This window comes from Homo sapiens, chromosome 3 (assembly GCF_000001405.40).
Source record: "Homo sapiens chromosome 3, GRCh38.p14 Primary Assembly".
NCBI lineage: Eukaryota > Metazoa > Chordata > Mammalia > Primates > Hominidae > Homo > Homo sapiens.
In genome coordinates this window covers 119,927,206-119,945,089 of record NC_000003.12, presented here as the reverse complement: position 1 = coordinate 119,945,089, position 17,884 = coordinate 119,927,206, and the positions used below count along the sequence as shown (strand labels likewise).

The 17,884-nt window shown below is 36.8% G+C and overlaps 1 protein-coding gene across 4 annotated transcripts in view, besides 2 other annotated features; it reads left to right on the top strand.

The window, feature by feature from the left end:
• Positions 1 to 17,884, top strand: part of GSK3B (glycogen synthase kinase 3 beta) — a 273,127-nt gene that overhangs the window by 149,358 nt on the left and 105,885 nt on the right. The gene's annotated exons all lie outside the window — the stretch shown is intronic.
• Positions 612 to 831: an enhancer, noted in NCBI's record as "active region_20328". NCBI's record gives its function as "activates an Ori minimal core promoter by ATAC-STARR-seq in GM12878 lymphoblastoid cells {active_cell/tissue: GM12878}" and the evidence as "EXISTENCE:reporter gene assay evidence [ECO:0000049][PMID:35858748]".
• Positions 7,510 to 7,609: an enhancer, noted in NCBI's record as "active region_20327". NCBI's record gives its function as "activates an Ori minimal core promoter by ATAC-STARR-seq in GM12878 lymphoblastoid cells {active_cell/tissue: GM12878}" and the evidence as "EXISTENCE:reporter gene assay evidence [ECO:0000049][PMID:35858748]".

Sequence of the window (17,884 nt, the reverse complement as noted above, 5' to 3'; positions counted from 1 at the left end):
TCTGAATTGTTCTGGCAGGACTAAGATATCCTTCAGGAGATCAAGTAGTAAACTATTTCTTCCCATAGGAGAAGATGGATTCTTTTCTAGGGTTGAGTGCTCAGGTTAGTTATTTTCAGTTCTGACTTTCTTGGAATAGGTTACTGAGAGTATCCACTGCTGTTTAGAAAGGAACCTAAATGTCTGTGAAATTCTTGCAAATCCTTGAAGATGATTTATCTTGGAATGTGGCAGTCCTATATTTGGTAGGCATTTTTCTAGCAGAAGCATTATGTATTGCTTATGTATATTATATATGAGAAGAGTTTTGGAGGAGGAAATAATAAATTAATCATTTGAGATGCTTATGACACATGCAAGTAGAGATTCCCAGTAGATGGATAGATGTGTGACTTCGTAGATGGTGGTGGTGGCTCTAGGTGGAGAAGTGACATTGACAAAGTAGGATAAAGAGGGCGTGTAGCCATGTGGAGCTTGGTGGGGAGGAGACATGGAGTGCTGTTTGAGGCCAGGACAGTGAAAAATCAGCGGTTTGGCAATATTTATTGCCTTCTTTTTCTAGAATTTGTCAGGAGGTGACCAGTCTTCATTTGAAAGAACTGCAAGGAAACCAGTGCCTTTAGGTGAGATTCAGGTTTTCTCTAGAGCAAAACGGTAAAAAGAACCCTGCATGAAGAAATTGAGGTCATTAGAAATTTTCTTCTTGAGGTTTCAGTTTTCTTTTTGAGGTTTCTTTTGACGTTTAGGTGAGATCCAGGTTTTCTCTAGGGTAAGACAGTAAAAAGAAACCCTCCATGAAGAGATTGAGGTTATTAGAAATTTTCTTTTTGAGGTTTTTGAGAGAATGTTATGGGAGGGAGATCAGTGATAAGAACATGAGCCTACAGGAAGTTTGAGGAGGCAATTAGGGAGATTAGTTGAGGACATTGTGAAGATGAGAAAGAATAACTCATTGTTTCAGGATTAGAGAGATTAAAGGCTTGGTTAGGTTCTAGAATAGATGACTTAAAATGCATTTGGGAATTTAAAAAAATTCTCTCATTCTCTATAACATCTCTGACTTTCTTTCCCTCTTTTTTTTCTATCAGTCTCTTTCTCTAGCCCTTTTTTCGCCTTTGTCTTTAGTCTTCACCTTTCTGGATTCCTCAACCTTTCACTGTAGGCTCCAAGTCTCTATCTTTCTGTCTCTGGGCTTTTGTCCCCCCTCTCTTGGTCTGTGTCACCCCCTTTTTGGATTTCTTTTCCCTCCATATAACTCTTTCTCTTTTCTCTGTCTCTTTCTTTCTTGTCTCTCTCTTCTCCCCCACACCCTTTTTCTCTCTGTCTCTCTCCCTCTCTTATTTCCTTTTTATGGGTCTCCATCAACCTCTTTCTCTGGGTTTCTATACCTGTCTTTCAATGGGATTTTACCCATCCCACTCTCTTTCTGATTGCTTCTAAATCTGTATATGGGTTCTCATCTGTCTTAAATCTTCTTCGTTGTCTCTCTTAGTGTCTCTTCTCTCTGGGCCTCTATTACTCCCTTTTTGGAAAATGTTAAGGAAAACAACTAAATTATTCACTACTACTGTCCTGACCTTTGACTTCAGTTCTGTGTATCTTATTCCATACGTACATGTTTATATAGGTATATGCATAATTATTTATGATCTCATAAAGATTTTTTTCTCTTGCCTCATAATATGTATAGGCATTTTGGTTATCTAATATTCCATTGTTATACTATATAATATTTTATCTATTCCCACATTGTTATTTTTAATTTTAGAATTGTAGCTAAGCTACCCTGTGGCCTTGTCATAATTTCTGTCTGTAAGTACTTTTGCAGCTCTGGGAGAATTAAAGTAGGATTTCTGTAATAACAGGCATGTTTTACATTTCATTGACCACAGTTTGACTGAATGATATGTCTATTTTGGTAACCTTCTTTTTATTGTATTCTGCCTTTTGCATTTTAAAGACTTTCTTTAGGGATAGTGGATAATCAGCTTTTATCCTGTAACAGGGGAAAGGGGTAGCCAATGTAACTAGAAGAAAGAGGAATTAAGTTAGGACAGAGATTAGAGATGTGTACTAATTAGCCTTAGTTTTCTGGTTGGAATTATTAATGTTTGCTGTAGTAACTAGAGCATCATGTAGTCAATTCGTATACTCTATGTTACCCAGTAGTAACTAACTATGATTTAGTTTAGAGTAAGTAGTACCTCCTCTCTTACCTTCCCATTAGAGAAAAATGAGATATTTGAGTGTTTTGAAACCCTGGGCTTATAGTTTTGTGAGTTGCAAGTATCTTACAGAATAGTCTTTCTCTTTTTTTAATATTTGGCAGTAGAAACTTTCTACATCCCCAATGAAATTTTCTGAAGACCTCTGATAGAACATATGAAAAGCAGAGTTGCCCTAGTTGAAGCTAAGGTGTGGGATCAGATGATTTTGCCTTTTCTGAGTTATAGCTTACCCCAAAGAACTCTAGGACTCTGAAGATCATATGATAAAAACCATGTTATGAGCTGGGTGTGGTGGCTCACGCCTGTAATCCCAGCATTTTGGGAGGCCGTGGCGGTTGAATCGAGACCAGCTTGGCCAACGTAGTGAAACCCCATCTCTACTAAAAATACAAAAAATTATCTGGGTGTGGTGGTGGGTGCCTGTAATCCCAGCTACTCGAGAGGCTGAGGCAGGAGAATCGCTTGAACCCAGGAGGAGGAGGTTGCAGTGAGCCGAGATTGCCCCATTGTACTCCAGCCTGGGCAACAACAGTGAAACTCCGTCTCAAAAAATAAAAAATAAAAATAAAAACTGTGTTATGTCTTCACAAGATCCTTAAATTTTATTTCAATCAATTAATAGTTTTCTGTAAGAAAAACTTCTCTAAGTAACTTTTCATTTAAAAGTTTTTTTCCTTGTGGTTCATAGATTACTTTAATAATAAAGCGAAAAACCTCTGCCTTCTACTTTGTGAGAGACTGTTCAAATAACAAAGATGACAGTTGATTTTATTTCTCATGCCACCTTTGTTCTATTGATAGTAATGGGGGCCTGTATCCAGAAGGGGAGGATTGTACCACTGCATCTGGGATCAGGGAGCAGAATGCTGTGCTTAATTTTGCTGGTCTACCACTAGCTCTGGAGAGGAAAGGGTAGGGGTGACATATATGCCAAGGATTCATTCTGAAAAGTAAAGAGCACTGGCTTTGTAGCTAGAAATATTTGAGTTTGCATTCCATTTCTGCCACTTGATAGTAGTATGACTCTGGGCAAGATATTTACTTTTATAAGCCTCCTCCCCGCCATCTGCACAGTAGGGGTTTTGTAAGGAACAAATGTAATAAGGTTATCACGTGCTCATTATAGTACCTGGCATATAAATTAACACTTAATAAACATTAATTTACTATTTTACCTATTATTGTGTTTATTAATAGCAAATATATATTGCGCTTTTTATATGTCAAACATTGTCCTGAGCTGTTTACATATTTTATAACTCACTTAAACCTCATAGCAACCAATTAAAGAATGAGTTTTATAGAAGCACTATTTTATAGAAGAAACTGATACAACAGCCGTTAAGTAAGTTACCATACAACTACTAAATGGCAATGTTGGGCGTCAGCTCCAAGTAGTCTGACTCCAGAGTCTGTATAGTATGCTATAGTGTTTAGCATAGGACGTACATTCCTCCAGAAGCAGTGTGCTAGAAATAGAACATTAAAAAATATCTTAGTAAATTATCAAACAAGGGGAGATTATAATATTAATAGTAGTATTACGCCAGTCAAGGTGGTTTACGCCTGTAATCCCAGCACTTTTGAGAGGCCGAGGCGGGTGAATCTCCTGGGGTCAGGAATTTGAGACCAGCCTGGCTAACATGGTGAAACCCCATTTCTACTAAAAATAAAAAAAATTAGCCAGGTGTGATGGCAAGTGCCTGTAATCCCAGCTACTCAGGAGGCTGAGGCAGGAGAATCGCTTGAACCCAGGAGGCAGAGGTTGCAGTGAGCCGAGATCGAGCCATTGCACTCCAGCTTGGGCAACAAGAGCGAAGCTCCATCTCAAAAAAAAAAAAAAAAAATTAGTAGTAATAGTTGCAGTACTAGAAGTAGTGGTATTGATAATAATAGCTAAAAGGTATGAGATACTATATGCCAGGCATTAATCTAAACACATTACTTATATTTACTCATTTAATCTTCACAACGGTTCTATGAAGAGGAGATGGAGAGAAGTTAAGTGACGTGACCTGCCCATAGAGTGATTTAAACCAGTATTTTAAATTTCTAGTTTGCAGGAAGTATGTGACTCTTCTAAAATAAAGATTGTGCATTTTTTCGAGGGAGCTAGCTTGGGTGTTTTATTAGGTTTTCAAAGAAATCTCTGACCCCCAAAAGATAAAACAGAACCATCAAGCCATTCACCCAAGAGCCAAGGAGATATAATTATAGCAAGCTATGTAAATATTTATAAATATTTATTAGAAATGTTTTGATGAGATTTGAGCCCCCACAGTCTAGCTCTGGATTCCATTAACCTTCCCTAATACCACCACTCTTAATTTCAGTATATGTTTTTCTTTTAATAAAGAACTTTTATCAGAGGTTTCTAAAACTTGTATGTATGTATGTATATGTACTCATTTCTAATTCAGTTTTAACTTTTTCGAGAGCAGGTATGTGTGCATATGGTTATATTAAGGGATGAAAGAAAGAAAGAAAAGGCCAAGAACAGTTCCTTCTTAATTTTGAAGCAGTATAGTATAAAGAATCAATTTGAGTATGAATGGTGACTCTGCTGTTCATGTGTCTGGCCATGAGGACTGGCTATGTGTCCTCAAGCAAATTGCTTAATTTTTCTCCTTATCGCTAAAATGAGGGTAATATATGTATGTATAATATATATACTTGTGTTTTATATATATTTTTATATATATACTTGTGTTATATACACCATGTGTATACACACACACACACACACACACAAACACACACACACACTTTTGTTACTGTGAAAATTGTGGCCATGTAAGTAAAATGTTTATAGTATCATGTATTAGTTTTTCTTTCATTACCTCTAACCATTAGTTCTTGGTGTTCCCTAGGGTTTTATTCTCCATTTTTCTTTACTTTCATACTTATCCTGGGCCATATTCTCAATCCTTGTGACTTCAGTGACTCTCTAATGTTTATCTTCAGTTGAGGTCTCCCTGATGAACTCTAGAGCCTCAAATTTTAGTACCAACCAGAAATCTCTACCTGGAAGCCTGAGCCGTCAACATTTAGCATGTTAGAATTTACGACTCCCCTTATCCTTGCTATATATCAATTATTAAAATAAGAAACCTGGATGTTATGCTAGACCTTTTTGTTGACTTATTTGAATCTGTTCTTTCTATTTCACTGATAATGCTGCCTTAGTTCAGGCCCACATTATTTCTTATCTAAACTCTTGGTGATTTCTCTTCTTCTAGTACATACCTTTACTTCCTCCCCACCCCTAGCCTAAACAGTATTTTAAAACAGGGATAAATCATAGATTATTCTAAACAATTAGAAGAGACAATATGGGTCATTGTCTTAAGAATTTATTGTCTGGGTTTACCAAAAGCTTTATATGATCAATTAGCATTGGAGATGTTGGAGATGGGAGTTGTGACCATCCCTAATATAACATGGCAGCAGGCAATCCTTCTGATTGTATCACTTCTTCAGTTACCTAAAAGGTAAATTCCAGATTTCTTAGCATGACATACAAGGTCTTTGAACATCTATATCGTGACCTTACTTGACTCATCTCTCCTTTCTCACAGGCTATCTATGTTCTAGCCTTGCCCAAAGTATGTGCAATTGTCAGAATATGTTGTATTATCCCTGTTAATGCAAATACCTTCTGGAATGCTTCTTTCCTACCCTCCACCCCTGCTCTATTTTTGTTGAGTTCTTTTTCATTGTATTGTCTCTGCTCAAAAGTAGCTCCATCTGATATCTCACTATTTTCTCTCCCCCCAGCCCCCCTTTTAGCCCCAAAAGCTTCTCTCTCCTTGGAATATCTTGCACATACCTCTTTCATGACATTTTTCTTGTATTTTAATTATTTTTTTTTTAACTAGATCTTTTTACTAGGTTGTGTAATTCTCAGCAGCATGGTGAGATTTTATTAATTTTGTTTCTTTAATGCTTAGCCCAGTGCCTGAGACAATGTGAAGTTGGCTATGTAGATTTATTGAAAGCCTTCTAGATAGTCGTAGAAAACTGAGAGCTAAAATAGGCTCAGCCCAGATATTAACTTTTGTTTTTTGAAGTATATTAAGATTTATTATAGGTATTACAATAACTATTTCTATAGATTGTGTTATTGTAAAGGAATTATTTTCTTAATTTTACTTTTGGGATATTCATTGCTGAATATCAATATATAATTGTATAGAATTCAAGAGCATTAATTACGTATATGATATAATGCAGCTATCACTGTTATTTTTAAAACATTTTCCGTTTTATCACGAAATGGAATTGGAGTTTATCAGATGCCCTTTTGGTGATAATTGAAATGATCGTGTGGGGTTTTTTCCATCATTTTATTAACATGATATATTACATTGATTTTCTTATGTTGAACCACTGTTGTATTCCTGAGATAAAGGATTATACCCCAATCTTGGTCATGGGGTATAATCCTTTTAATATGCTATTAGATTTCATATTCTAGTATTTTCATGAGGATTTTTGCGTTTATATTTATAAGGGATATTGGTTGGTAATTTTTCTTTTTTGTGATGTGTTTATCTGGCTTTGGTATAGGGTAATGCTTGCCTTGTAGAATGAGGTAAGAAGTGCTCCTTCCTTTTCTATTTTTTTTAGAAGAGTCTTAGAAAGATTATTGTTAATTTCTTCTTTAGTAAACTGGCAGAAGTTACCACTGAAATCATCAGGTCCTGGACTTTACTTTGTTGGGAGGTTTTTTTCTTTATTACTAATTAAATCTCTACTTGTGTGTATGTTTGTTAAGATCGTCTGTTTCATTTTGAGTCAGTTTGATAATCTGTGTATTTGTAGGAATTTGCCCATTTCATCCAGGTTGTCTAATATGTTAACATACGATTATTTGTAGTATGCTGTTTTCATCCTTTTTGTCTCTGTGAGGTTAGTAGTAATGGCCCCACTTTCATTTCTGATTTTAATTCTTTTTCTTTTTATTTGTCAGTCTATCCCTACATCTAAACTCTTTTAAGGGTTTGTCAGTTTTGTTGATTGAAAAGAAAAAAAACTTTTAGTTTTGTTGATTCTGTTTTTTTTCTGTTCTCTGTTTTATTCATCTCTATTCATATATTTCTTATTTCCTTCCTTCTGTTAGCTTTGGGTTCAGTTTCTTCTTTGTAGTTCTCCGGTTGTAGAGTTAGATTAATGATTTGAGATCTTCTTTCTTAATGTAAGCATTTACAGCTGTAAATTTCCTTCTGAGCACTGTCTTTGCTGCATCCCGTAAGTCTTGGTATTATGTCTTAACTATGTAAAAATTTTTCTTGTTTAAGAGTATTATCTTAGTCAGTTTAGTGCTGCTATAAAGGAATACCTGAGGCCAAGTAATTTGTAAAGGAAAGAGGTTTATGTGGCTCACAATTCTGCTAGCTAGAAAGTGAAAGTCTCAGGCTGCCTCCACTTGTGGTGGAAGGTGAAGGGGAGCCAACATATGCAGTGGTTACGTGGCCAGATAGCAGAGAGGTGTCAGGCTCTTTTTACCAACCAGTTGTAGTGGGAGGGAACTCATAGAATGAGAACACATTCATTACCAAGAGGAAGGCACAATTCCATTCATGAGGGATCCACCTCTGTGGTCCAAATACCTTCCATTAGACCCCATCTCCAACACTGAGGATCAAGTTTTACCATGAGGTTTAGGGGGACAAACAGTCCAAACTATAGCAAGTGTGTTGTCTGTTATCTTCTTTAAACCATTGGTTGTCTACAGTGAATTGTTCAATTTCCACACATTTGTGAATTTTCTGGTTTCCCTTCATTACTAATTTTTAGTTTCATTTCATTGTGGTCAGAAAAGATATTTCATATGATTTCAGTCTTTTAAAATTTATTAACATTGTTTTGTGGCCTAATATATGGTCTATCCTGCATAGACCTATGCTCAGGTGCAAAATAATGTGTTCTCTGCTATTTGGGGGTGGCTGTATTCTGTATATGTATGTTGGGTCCAGTTGGTTTTTAGTGTTGTTCAAGTTATCTGTTTCCTTATTGATCTGTCTTGATGTTCTGTTCATTATTGAGAGTGGTATATTGAAGTCTCCAACTATTGTACAGCTGCCCATTTCTCCCTTCTATTCTGTTAGTCTTTGTTTCATGTATTGGGGGCTGTGTTGATTGGTGCATTTGTGTATATAATTGTTATAGCTCCTTGATGACTTGATTTTTTTAATCAACATACGATACCCAAGGCTAGGTGCATTGGCTCACACCTGTAATCCCAGCACTTTGGGAGGCCAAGGCAGGTGGATCACCTGAGGTCAGGAGTTCGAGACCAGCCTGGCCAACATGGCAAAACCCCATCTCTACTAAAAAATACAAAAATTAGCCAGGTATGGTGGTGTGCGCCTGTAATCCCAGCTACTCAGGAGGCCGAGGCAGGAGAATCACTTGAACCTGGGAGGCAGAGGTTGAAGTGAGCTGAGATCCTACCACTGCACTCCAGCCTGGGTGACAGAGCGAGACTTTGTCTCAAAAAAAAAATATATATATATATATATTTTTTATATATATTTATATTTTTATATATATTTATGTTATTTATATATATAACCTGAAGCCTTTTATTTTTTTCTTCTGGACACCGTTCTGGCTAGAGTCTCTAGTACAGAAGAGATAAATGCAGATAAATGCTTACTAGAAGAGATAAATGCAGACATTCTTGTTCTTGCTCCTGATTTTAGTGGCAAAGCATTCAGTCTTTCATCTTCAAGTGTGATGTTAGTCTTGGGTTTTTCATAGATATAGTGTTATCAGTTGAGGAAGTTCTCTTCTATTTCCAGCTTGTTGAAGCATTTTTATGAAAGGGTGTTGGATTTTGGCAAGTGCTTTTTCTCTATTGATTATGTGGTTTTTGTTTTTATTAAAATGGTGTTTTATATAAGTTGATTTTTGAATGTTAAACCTACCTTACATTTCTGAGATTAATCTCACTTGGGTCATAGTGTGTAATCATTTTTATATGTTGCTAAACAGTACTTTGTTAAGAGTTTTTGCATCTATATTCATAAGGGATATCGATCAGTAGTTTTATTTTGTTTTTGTTTTCCTTGTCATGTCTTTGGTTTTAGTATTGGGTAATACTGGCTTCATAGAATGACATTGAGAAGTATTCCCTCTGCTTCTGTTTTTTGAAAGAGTCTGTGAAGAATTGGTTTTAATACCAATTAATAGGAACTATTTAGATAAACAGTGTAGAACTGATGTATGCCAAGGAGTACAGAGTATTTTAAAGACTTGGTGATGTTTAATAGCACAGTGTGTGTAGAGGAGATACAAGTAGTTTGAAATTGCTGGTATATAAAGTTGGGGTAGTGGGGATTGTAGTGGAGATGAGGCTAGGAAAGTAAAAGTGGGTTCATATATGATTAGGTCAAGGTCAGCCTCCTAGTATAAAAATAATTTTGTTGTCGTTGTTCTTTTTCAATTAGATGAAAACCCCAAATTACAGAAATGGTACCTTGATCAGGTTGACAATATGCAATTCTCCCCTCTTTTCCTCTCTCTTTATCTTACTATATTATGAAAATTACTGATAGAAGTGAATTTTATTCAGTGAAATAAAGTGATTACCTATCTAAGTTCGCTTGGTCTATCTTCCTTAAAGTTTTATGTTGATGTCTTATTAAAGTGGTTTATTGATTATCTGGATGAAACTTGACTGATGAAATGCTAACATTTTCAATGGAGTATGACCTAGGAAGTGAATATATAAGTAATAATAAAGCTCTTGAGTTTGAATTATCAGGACCTCCTCATAAAGTATAAATGTTACTGACAGCAAATGAGGTGGTAATTATCATCTGCTCAAAAATAATCTAGGAGTTTCTTTTGAATATCAGTTGTCATCTGTTTTTATGTTATTTTAATATTTCAGCAAAACTAAAATGTTATTACATGCATACTATATAAAAAATTGAAGTAATACAGAATGGAGTAAATTAAAATGAAATATTTTTTACCCTAATCCCTAAATTCCCTAATCCCACTCTTAACAGATATAAATTTCTTATATGCATGTATGAGCACATATATTATATGTAAATTAGTAATAACATATGTATTTTGGAACATGTTCCCTTTTTACCAACAATACAGTAATAGGGCTTTTATGTCTATATGGACAGACCCTGCAAAGTTTCCCCTATTGTTAAGATATTAATATGGTACATTTGTTACAGTTAGTTAATTATTATAGTTTATTCAGATGTCCTTGGTTTTTGTCTAAGGTCTTTTGTTTATGATCCCATTTGAGATACCACATTACATTTACAAAGTATAAGAAAGAATACCACATTGAGGATCCCTCATTACAACATAATGAGATGTTAGTGGTCTTATCTTACTTACCTGCATGGCAGTTTCTTAGACTTTCCTTGGTTTTGATGATCTCGACAGTTTTTTGGAGTACTGGTCAGATGTTTTGTAGGATGCCTCACTATTGGAGTTTGTCTGCTTTTTTAATGATAAAACTGGGGTTACACGTTTTTGGCAAGAAGACAACAGAGAGGTAAAGTGTCATTTTCATCACATCATATCAAGGACATATACTGTCGACATGCTTTATGAGTGCTGTTAACTGACTTTCAACACCTGACTGATGTAGTGTTTAGTTTTCTTGACTGTAAAATTACTCTTTTCCCCACTCTTTCCATACTTTATTCCTTGGAAGGAAGTCACTATGCAGAGACTACACCTAAGGTGGGAATTATGCCCCTATACTTCTTTTCCTTAATGGTGGAGTAGCTACACAAATTATTTCAATTTATTTTGCGTAAGAGACATGTCTCTTTTCCCCCATGTATTAATCTATTTAGTCATTTATTTCTATCAGTGTGGATTTGTGGATATTTATTTTATTGGCCACATTGTCCCAGGTTTGGCCACTGGGAGTTCTGTCAACTACCTCCTGTGCTTCTTGTTTGTTTTTTTGTTTTATTTATTATTATGGTTATTATTTTTAAGAAGGAGTCTCGCTCTGCCTATCAGGCTGGAGTGCAGTGGCTTGATCTCTGCTCACTGCAACCTCTGCCTCCCAGGCTCAAGTGATTCTCCTGCCTTGGCCTCCCAAATAGCTGGGATTACAGGCGTCTGCCACCATGCCTGGCTAATTTTTTTATTTTCACAAGAGACGGGGTTTCACCATGTTGGCCAGGCTTGGCTCGAACTCCTGACCTCAGGTGATCCACCCACCTCGGCCTCCCAAAGTGCTGGGATTACAGGCGTGAGCCACCGCGCTTGGCGGCTCCTGTGCTTCTTTAACATACTATCATGTGGGCTTTTTGTTTTATTTTAAAGCATGTTTTTGTTTTCTGGCATTATAAGATAATGGCATGCAGATGTGTTTTTAATTTCTTGCTCTTCACAAATTTTATGCATGCACGAGCGTGTACACACACAGAATTGTTTTCATAGATGTAATCCCTAAAGTGTCATTGCTGAGTCTATTTGGGGGGGCTCTATGTCTTCACTTCTGAATTAATAACCCATTGCCTGCCCAATAGATTGCATGAGTTTGGACTTTCACAAGAATTGTTGTAGTTCATATTGGATGGTGATCTATTTCAATACTTAGTTTTCTCAGACTGAATTTTCTTTTCTAGTTTGATAGATGAAAAATTGTGGCTTATTGCTATCTTTATTACATTTCTTTAATTATGAGTGAGGCTGAGCATTTTTCTACAGTTTTGTTGGCCATTTTTATGACCATCTGTTAATGCGTATTTCCATATTTCCTTTCTTGTTTTTGTTTGTTTGTTTTGCAGGGGTTGGGGTGGGCAACGGCATGATTTCGATCACTGCAACCTCCACCTCCGGGGTTCAAGCAATTCTCCTGCCTCAGCCTCCAGGGTAGCTAAGATTACAGGTGTCTGCCACCAAATCCAGCTAATTTTTGTATTTTCAGTAGAGGCAGGGTTTCATCATGTTGGCCAAGCTGGTCTCAAACACCTGAACTCAGCCTCAGCCTCCCAAAGTGCTGGGATTACAAGCGTGAGCCACCGTACCCAGCCTATATTTCCATGTTTTCTGTTTGAATACTGGTTTTTTCTTGTTGACTTCCAAGTACTATTTGTGTTTTAAAGAAAAACAAATCAGGCTTTTATCATGTGTAGCAGAAGTTTATTTATTTGTTTATTTGCCAAATTGTCATGGTTTTTTTTTACTGGGTTTGTGTGAGTTTTTTTTCTTAAGGTAGTATAGATGTTTTACAGTTCTGTGTAATCAAATTGGCATTATTTTTCTCCATGGCTTAGCTCTTTTGTCTTCCAAGATTTGCAGAAATACCCATGTTTTCTTCTGGCACATTTATTATTTTTCTAAAAAAAAAAAAAAACCCTTTGGTAATTTTGGTGTTTATTTTGTTTTAAGGTGTGAGATAGGGATGAAATTTGCCTTAATCGTTGTATGCTAGGTGCCTACCCTTTCCCATTTCCTTCCCACAGCCTCTCAAGCAAAAAGGTATTCTCTTACCTAATCCACACACTCTTTACTATTAGTACTATATTCTCATCTCTAGCCAGCCTGGCGTACCCATCAGAGAAAAGATAGCTATTTTGGAGATTTTTGCCAGTTGGAATGCCCAGTCCAATTCTGATGAGAATCCTGGGTTACTGTGATGCTGCATTTGATGTCTTATTGCGGGGATCTCTAATATGTTGTATTGCATTACATCAGATTTTTAAAATTATATCATGATTCTATTAAAAATGTAACCTCAAGTCATTTTATTTCCTTGACCTCAGAAGTTATCTGGAGATAACACATCATACTAATGTGTTTTCCAAAGGTAGGATGGAGTTATCTCAGCTGTTGTTGAGTTGTTGTTACATGTGATCAAAATTTTATCACTTAAATTTCTTACTCAGTGTGTGGTTTTAATGTGGAGTTCATAGAAAAATGGTTATCAGTGATTAGAGAATAGTTTATTAATAAAATTAATAACTAGGAAAACTGAGTCATAGAGAGAAATACTCCCTAAATTATACATTATGTAATTTTTTTGGAAGTTTCTAAGTAGATCCACTTTGTATAATAGCAGATTCCTTTCAAAGGACTTCTGGCATTGACTCTTTTGCCAGTTTTTTGGAAACCTAGTATCAGTTATTTGAGGTTAGCAGACTCAGCGTTTTCAGCTCCTGCCTCCCAAATGATACTGTGTGTTCTATTTAGGTTTTTTAAATTTTTATTTTATTTTTTTATTTCTTTTTGTTTTGTTTTGTTTTTTTGAGACAGTCTTGCTCTGTCACCTAGGCTGGAGTGCAGTGGCACAGTCTTGACTACTGCAACCTCCGCCTCCTGGGTTGAAGCGATTCTCATGCCTCAGCCTCCTGAGTAGCTGGGACTACAGGTGCATGCCACCACGCCTGGCTAACTTTTGTATTTTTGGTAGAGACAGGGTTTCGCCATGTTGCCCAGGCTGGTGTTAAACTTCCGGGCTCAAGAGATCCACCCACTTCGGCCTCCCAAGGTGCTGGGACTGCTGGCGTGAGCCACTGTGCCCGGCCTATTTAGTTTTTAAAGTTTACAATTTGTGAGTATTCTAGCATTGTGTCTGAGAATCCAAAGGAGATAGATTACATTAAGGAAATAGCAAACCTGAGATGTTTCAGAAAATTACGAGTGCTAGAAATGCTGAATCCTGGTCTTCTCAAAATATTAGCATCTTTAGCCTTCTTAATTATGTTGTGCAAGAAGCTTCAAACAAAACCGTACTTTGGAACTGCAAAAATACTACTGTTTTCCCTACATATGGTGTTTCCTAGGGATGGGCACTGTCCCCTCGGGGTTATTCCCTGTGGCTATTTATTTTACATTAGAACATTTGTAAATTTAACAAGAGCATTTTTTGGTGCCTTCATATTTCTCATAGTGTAGTAAATTAGATTGTTCAGCCTATAGCAGACATGCTTTCATTAGCCTTCCTTTGATGTATTCTGCTGTGTTAATATTATGAATAAAATATGTGGCCAATAAAGGGATATCACTACTTGCAATGCAGCATGAGCTATACAAAGTAGAGTGGAATTATCTTCATTGATTTGAACACAATACTTTTGTAGCCTAATGTTGCATGATGTTTTTTATTGGTTGCATCTCAGTGTTTTTTCTTTTTGAGTTCTGTTCAATTACACTTCTTTAATTTCCAGATGTATTACTGTCAAGTTTGATCTGGAGTTCCTCTGTTCTCTCATTCTCAATAATACATTGACACTTTGATTTTAGTCATAGGGCCTTTGTTAAATTTCATATTGCAGGTTTGGTCTATCATACCAGCCCAAGTTCTTTAAATTTTTATTCAATGTTTCATTTTAAGCCATTCTTCTAGGTCTGTGTCAATCTTAGGTGGCTGTGTTGAAATCAGAGGTTATAAATTGACAGCCAAATCTATCCCATGATGTGTTTTATTTGACAAGCACATTTTTTTTTTTAAACTAGAATGCTTGTAGTTAGTTAAGTTTTGTACTGTGTGATTTACCAACTGTTGCCCCTTATTGCGTTACACAATTTGGCTTCACACTTTTACATATGTTGCTTAGCTGTTGATGGCATTTGCAACCTGTAATAAATGAAATCATTTATAAAAATATTGAGACAAGGGAAGGACAGTTTATAGTCCTGTAACTAGAAATCTCTGTTGAACTTGGCATTCATCTTTTAATCTTACATATAATTTAAATATATAAAATTAAATAAATGTGTGTGTGCATGCGCACGTGTGTGTGTGTGTGTGTGTGTGTGTGTGTGTGTGTGTGTGTGTAGGAGACAGAATCTCACTGTGTCGTCCAGGCTGGGTTGCAGTGGTGCCATCACGGCTCACTAGCCTTGACTTTTCGGGCTCAAGTGATCCTCCCACCTTAGCCTCCCGAGTCGCTGTGACCACAGGCGTGTGCTGCCAGGCCTGGCTAATTATTATTATTATTTTTTTTTTTTTTTTTTGAGGCAGAGTTTCGCTCTTGTTGCCCAGACTGGGGTGCAATGGCGTGATCTCAGCTCAGAGCAACCTCTGCCTCCTGGTTCAAGCCATTCTCCTGCCTCAGCGTCCAGAGTAGCTGGGATTACAGGCATGCGCCACCATGCCTGGCTAATTTTGTATTTTTAGTAGAGACGGGATTTCTCCATGTTGGTCAGGCTGGTCTCGAACTCCAGACCTCAGGTGATCCGCCCACCTCGGCCTGCCAAAGTGCTGGGATTACAGGCGTGAGCCACCATGCCTGGCCAATTTTTTGTTTTTTTGTAGAAATGGTGCCTCCCTGTGTTGCCCAGGCTGGTTGTGAACTCCTGGACTCAAGTGATCCTTCTGCCTTGGCCTCCTACAGTGCTGGGATTATAGGCATGAGCCACTGCGCCTGGTTCAGCCTTTATATTCTTAACTGTTAGTATGATTGTTTAGCAAATGAAGTAAATTGGAATGTAGTGGTATACACATCTCCAGGTTGTTCATAATTGTATAATGATTAATTTTGTAAAATGGATCATTAAAATCAAGAAACTTTGTGATTGAGTAATAGTTAAAAAAATGGTTTTGACATCTGTGTTAATGACCTTTCTAATACCTGAGACTCACCATTCTTTGAATTCTATTTAATACAGCAATCCTTTTCACACCAATTGAGCATTCTGTTAATTTGTTCTCTTTATTAGACCTCATTTACAATGGGAACTGATTGTTTCTGAATATTGATCTCTGCATTTTTTTCTTTTAGCCTTCAGCATTACTCTTGTTACCCCTAGTTTTGCATATCATCTTATCTCTTACTTTACAAGAAATAGGATCATCACACATAACTCATTCAGCTTACATTTCTTTCCTTTTCCCTAATACCTAATCACTTATTAGATTTAAAGAAAAAAAGATAACTAATTTTTTAAGGATGAAAATAGCTAAAACTCGAGTCTTTATTGTGTGTTAGGTAATGTATTTAAAGAATTTCACATTGATGATTTCTTATAATATCATGACAGTTCTTTAAAATAGATACTGTCATTAGCTCTATATTGCAGATGAGGAAACTGATGCTTAGAGAGGTTAAATAACTTGCTCATAGTTACATAACTCCTAGTAACAGAATTGGGACTTCTATATAGTTTTATGTGACTCATGCTAATCTTACTTCTTAATTACTATGCTATATAGTTTGTCTTTGTCCTTGTTTCTTCCTTCTCCTGATTTTCTAGAATCTTGCTTCTTATCCCTTTTCCCTCTTTTTTTTTTTTTTTTTTTTTTTATTTTTTTGATATGGAGTCTCGCTCTATCTCCCAGGCTGGAGTGCAGTGGTGTGATCTCAGCTTACTGCAACCTCTGCCTCCTGGGTTCAAGCGATTCTTCTGCCTCAGCCTCCCAAGTAGCTAGGACTACAGGCACCTGCCACCATGCCCGGCTAATTTTTTGTATTTTTAGTAGAGACGGGGTTTCACCGTGTTAGCCAGGATGGTCTCGATCTCCTGACCTCATGATCCGCCCGCCTCTGCCTCCCAAAGTGCTGGGATTACAGGCGTGAGCCACCAAGCCCGGCCTTTCCTCCTTTTTTATAACTTTATTCTACCTATGTCTACTTAGCTTACAAATAAATTTGGGTCTCTTTTAGCCAGTAAAAAGTGCAAACAAAAGCCCAGCAACAATGTTTCTTTGACTTTTGCTCCCCTTGAGTTACCAACTCCCAGTTCTCTCCTTACTTCATCACCAGAGACTTTGTGAGAATAAACTGAATTAACTACCTCCTATTCCTCATCTGCCACCTGCTCACTTGTGAACCCAATAAAGCTTGATTGCTACTGGCACCATGGTCTGAAACCTCTTTTTCCAAGAGCATCACTGAACCAAGATACACCAAGATATTGGGTATAGATCGAATAACCTCTTTTTAGTCCTCATCTCGTCTGCTATTGAAATGCTTCACAGTTTCACCTCTCACCCTTATAGAAATTTCCACTTTGAATTGTCGATGCTAATCTTTCCTTGCTTTCTTTTGCCTCTTAGTTTTTTCTTCATGTTTGCTAAGTCCCCTGTGTTGTCTGCTTCTTAAATTTAGTGTTTTTCAGGATTCCATACTCAGTCCTTTCCTTACTCTCCAACTCTGGGTGGTCTTCTTAGGTGAACAAGTCTATTCTCATGGCTTCAGCTATTGCCTGAATCTCAAGCTGTACTCCACTCTTGCTTCCTGAGTTTTGCCTTGACCTCTGTTTGCAACCACCTATGTAATATAACTACTCAAAGTGTTCTGAGATTCATTAAGTAAAAGTTCAAATAATTTTTCCTTCAAACCTTTCTACTGTTTTTGCTTTCTGTGTCTCATCACCTATTTGGTTGCCCAAGCTTAAAGACAGTTAAATTAATCCCAATCTCTTTGTTTCTTGGATTCTCTATTAGTCTCATGTTCAACTAGCCGGTATACCTACCCTGCCTTCCCGCTGCTTTAAAAAAAGTCCCTATTGCCTTATGCCCTGATTCAGCCTTTGGACTCTTGTAGAAGGTTTCCAGCTGCTCACCCTGCATTCATTCTCACTTTCCCAAGTCTCCTCTCCATACCCATTTTCCATAATACTGTTTGAGTTAAAACAGACATGTCAGTTTGTAATCTAATTTTTTTCTTCAAGCTTTATTGATATAATTGAAAAATAAAAATGTATATATT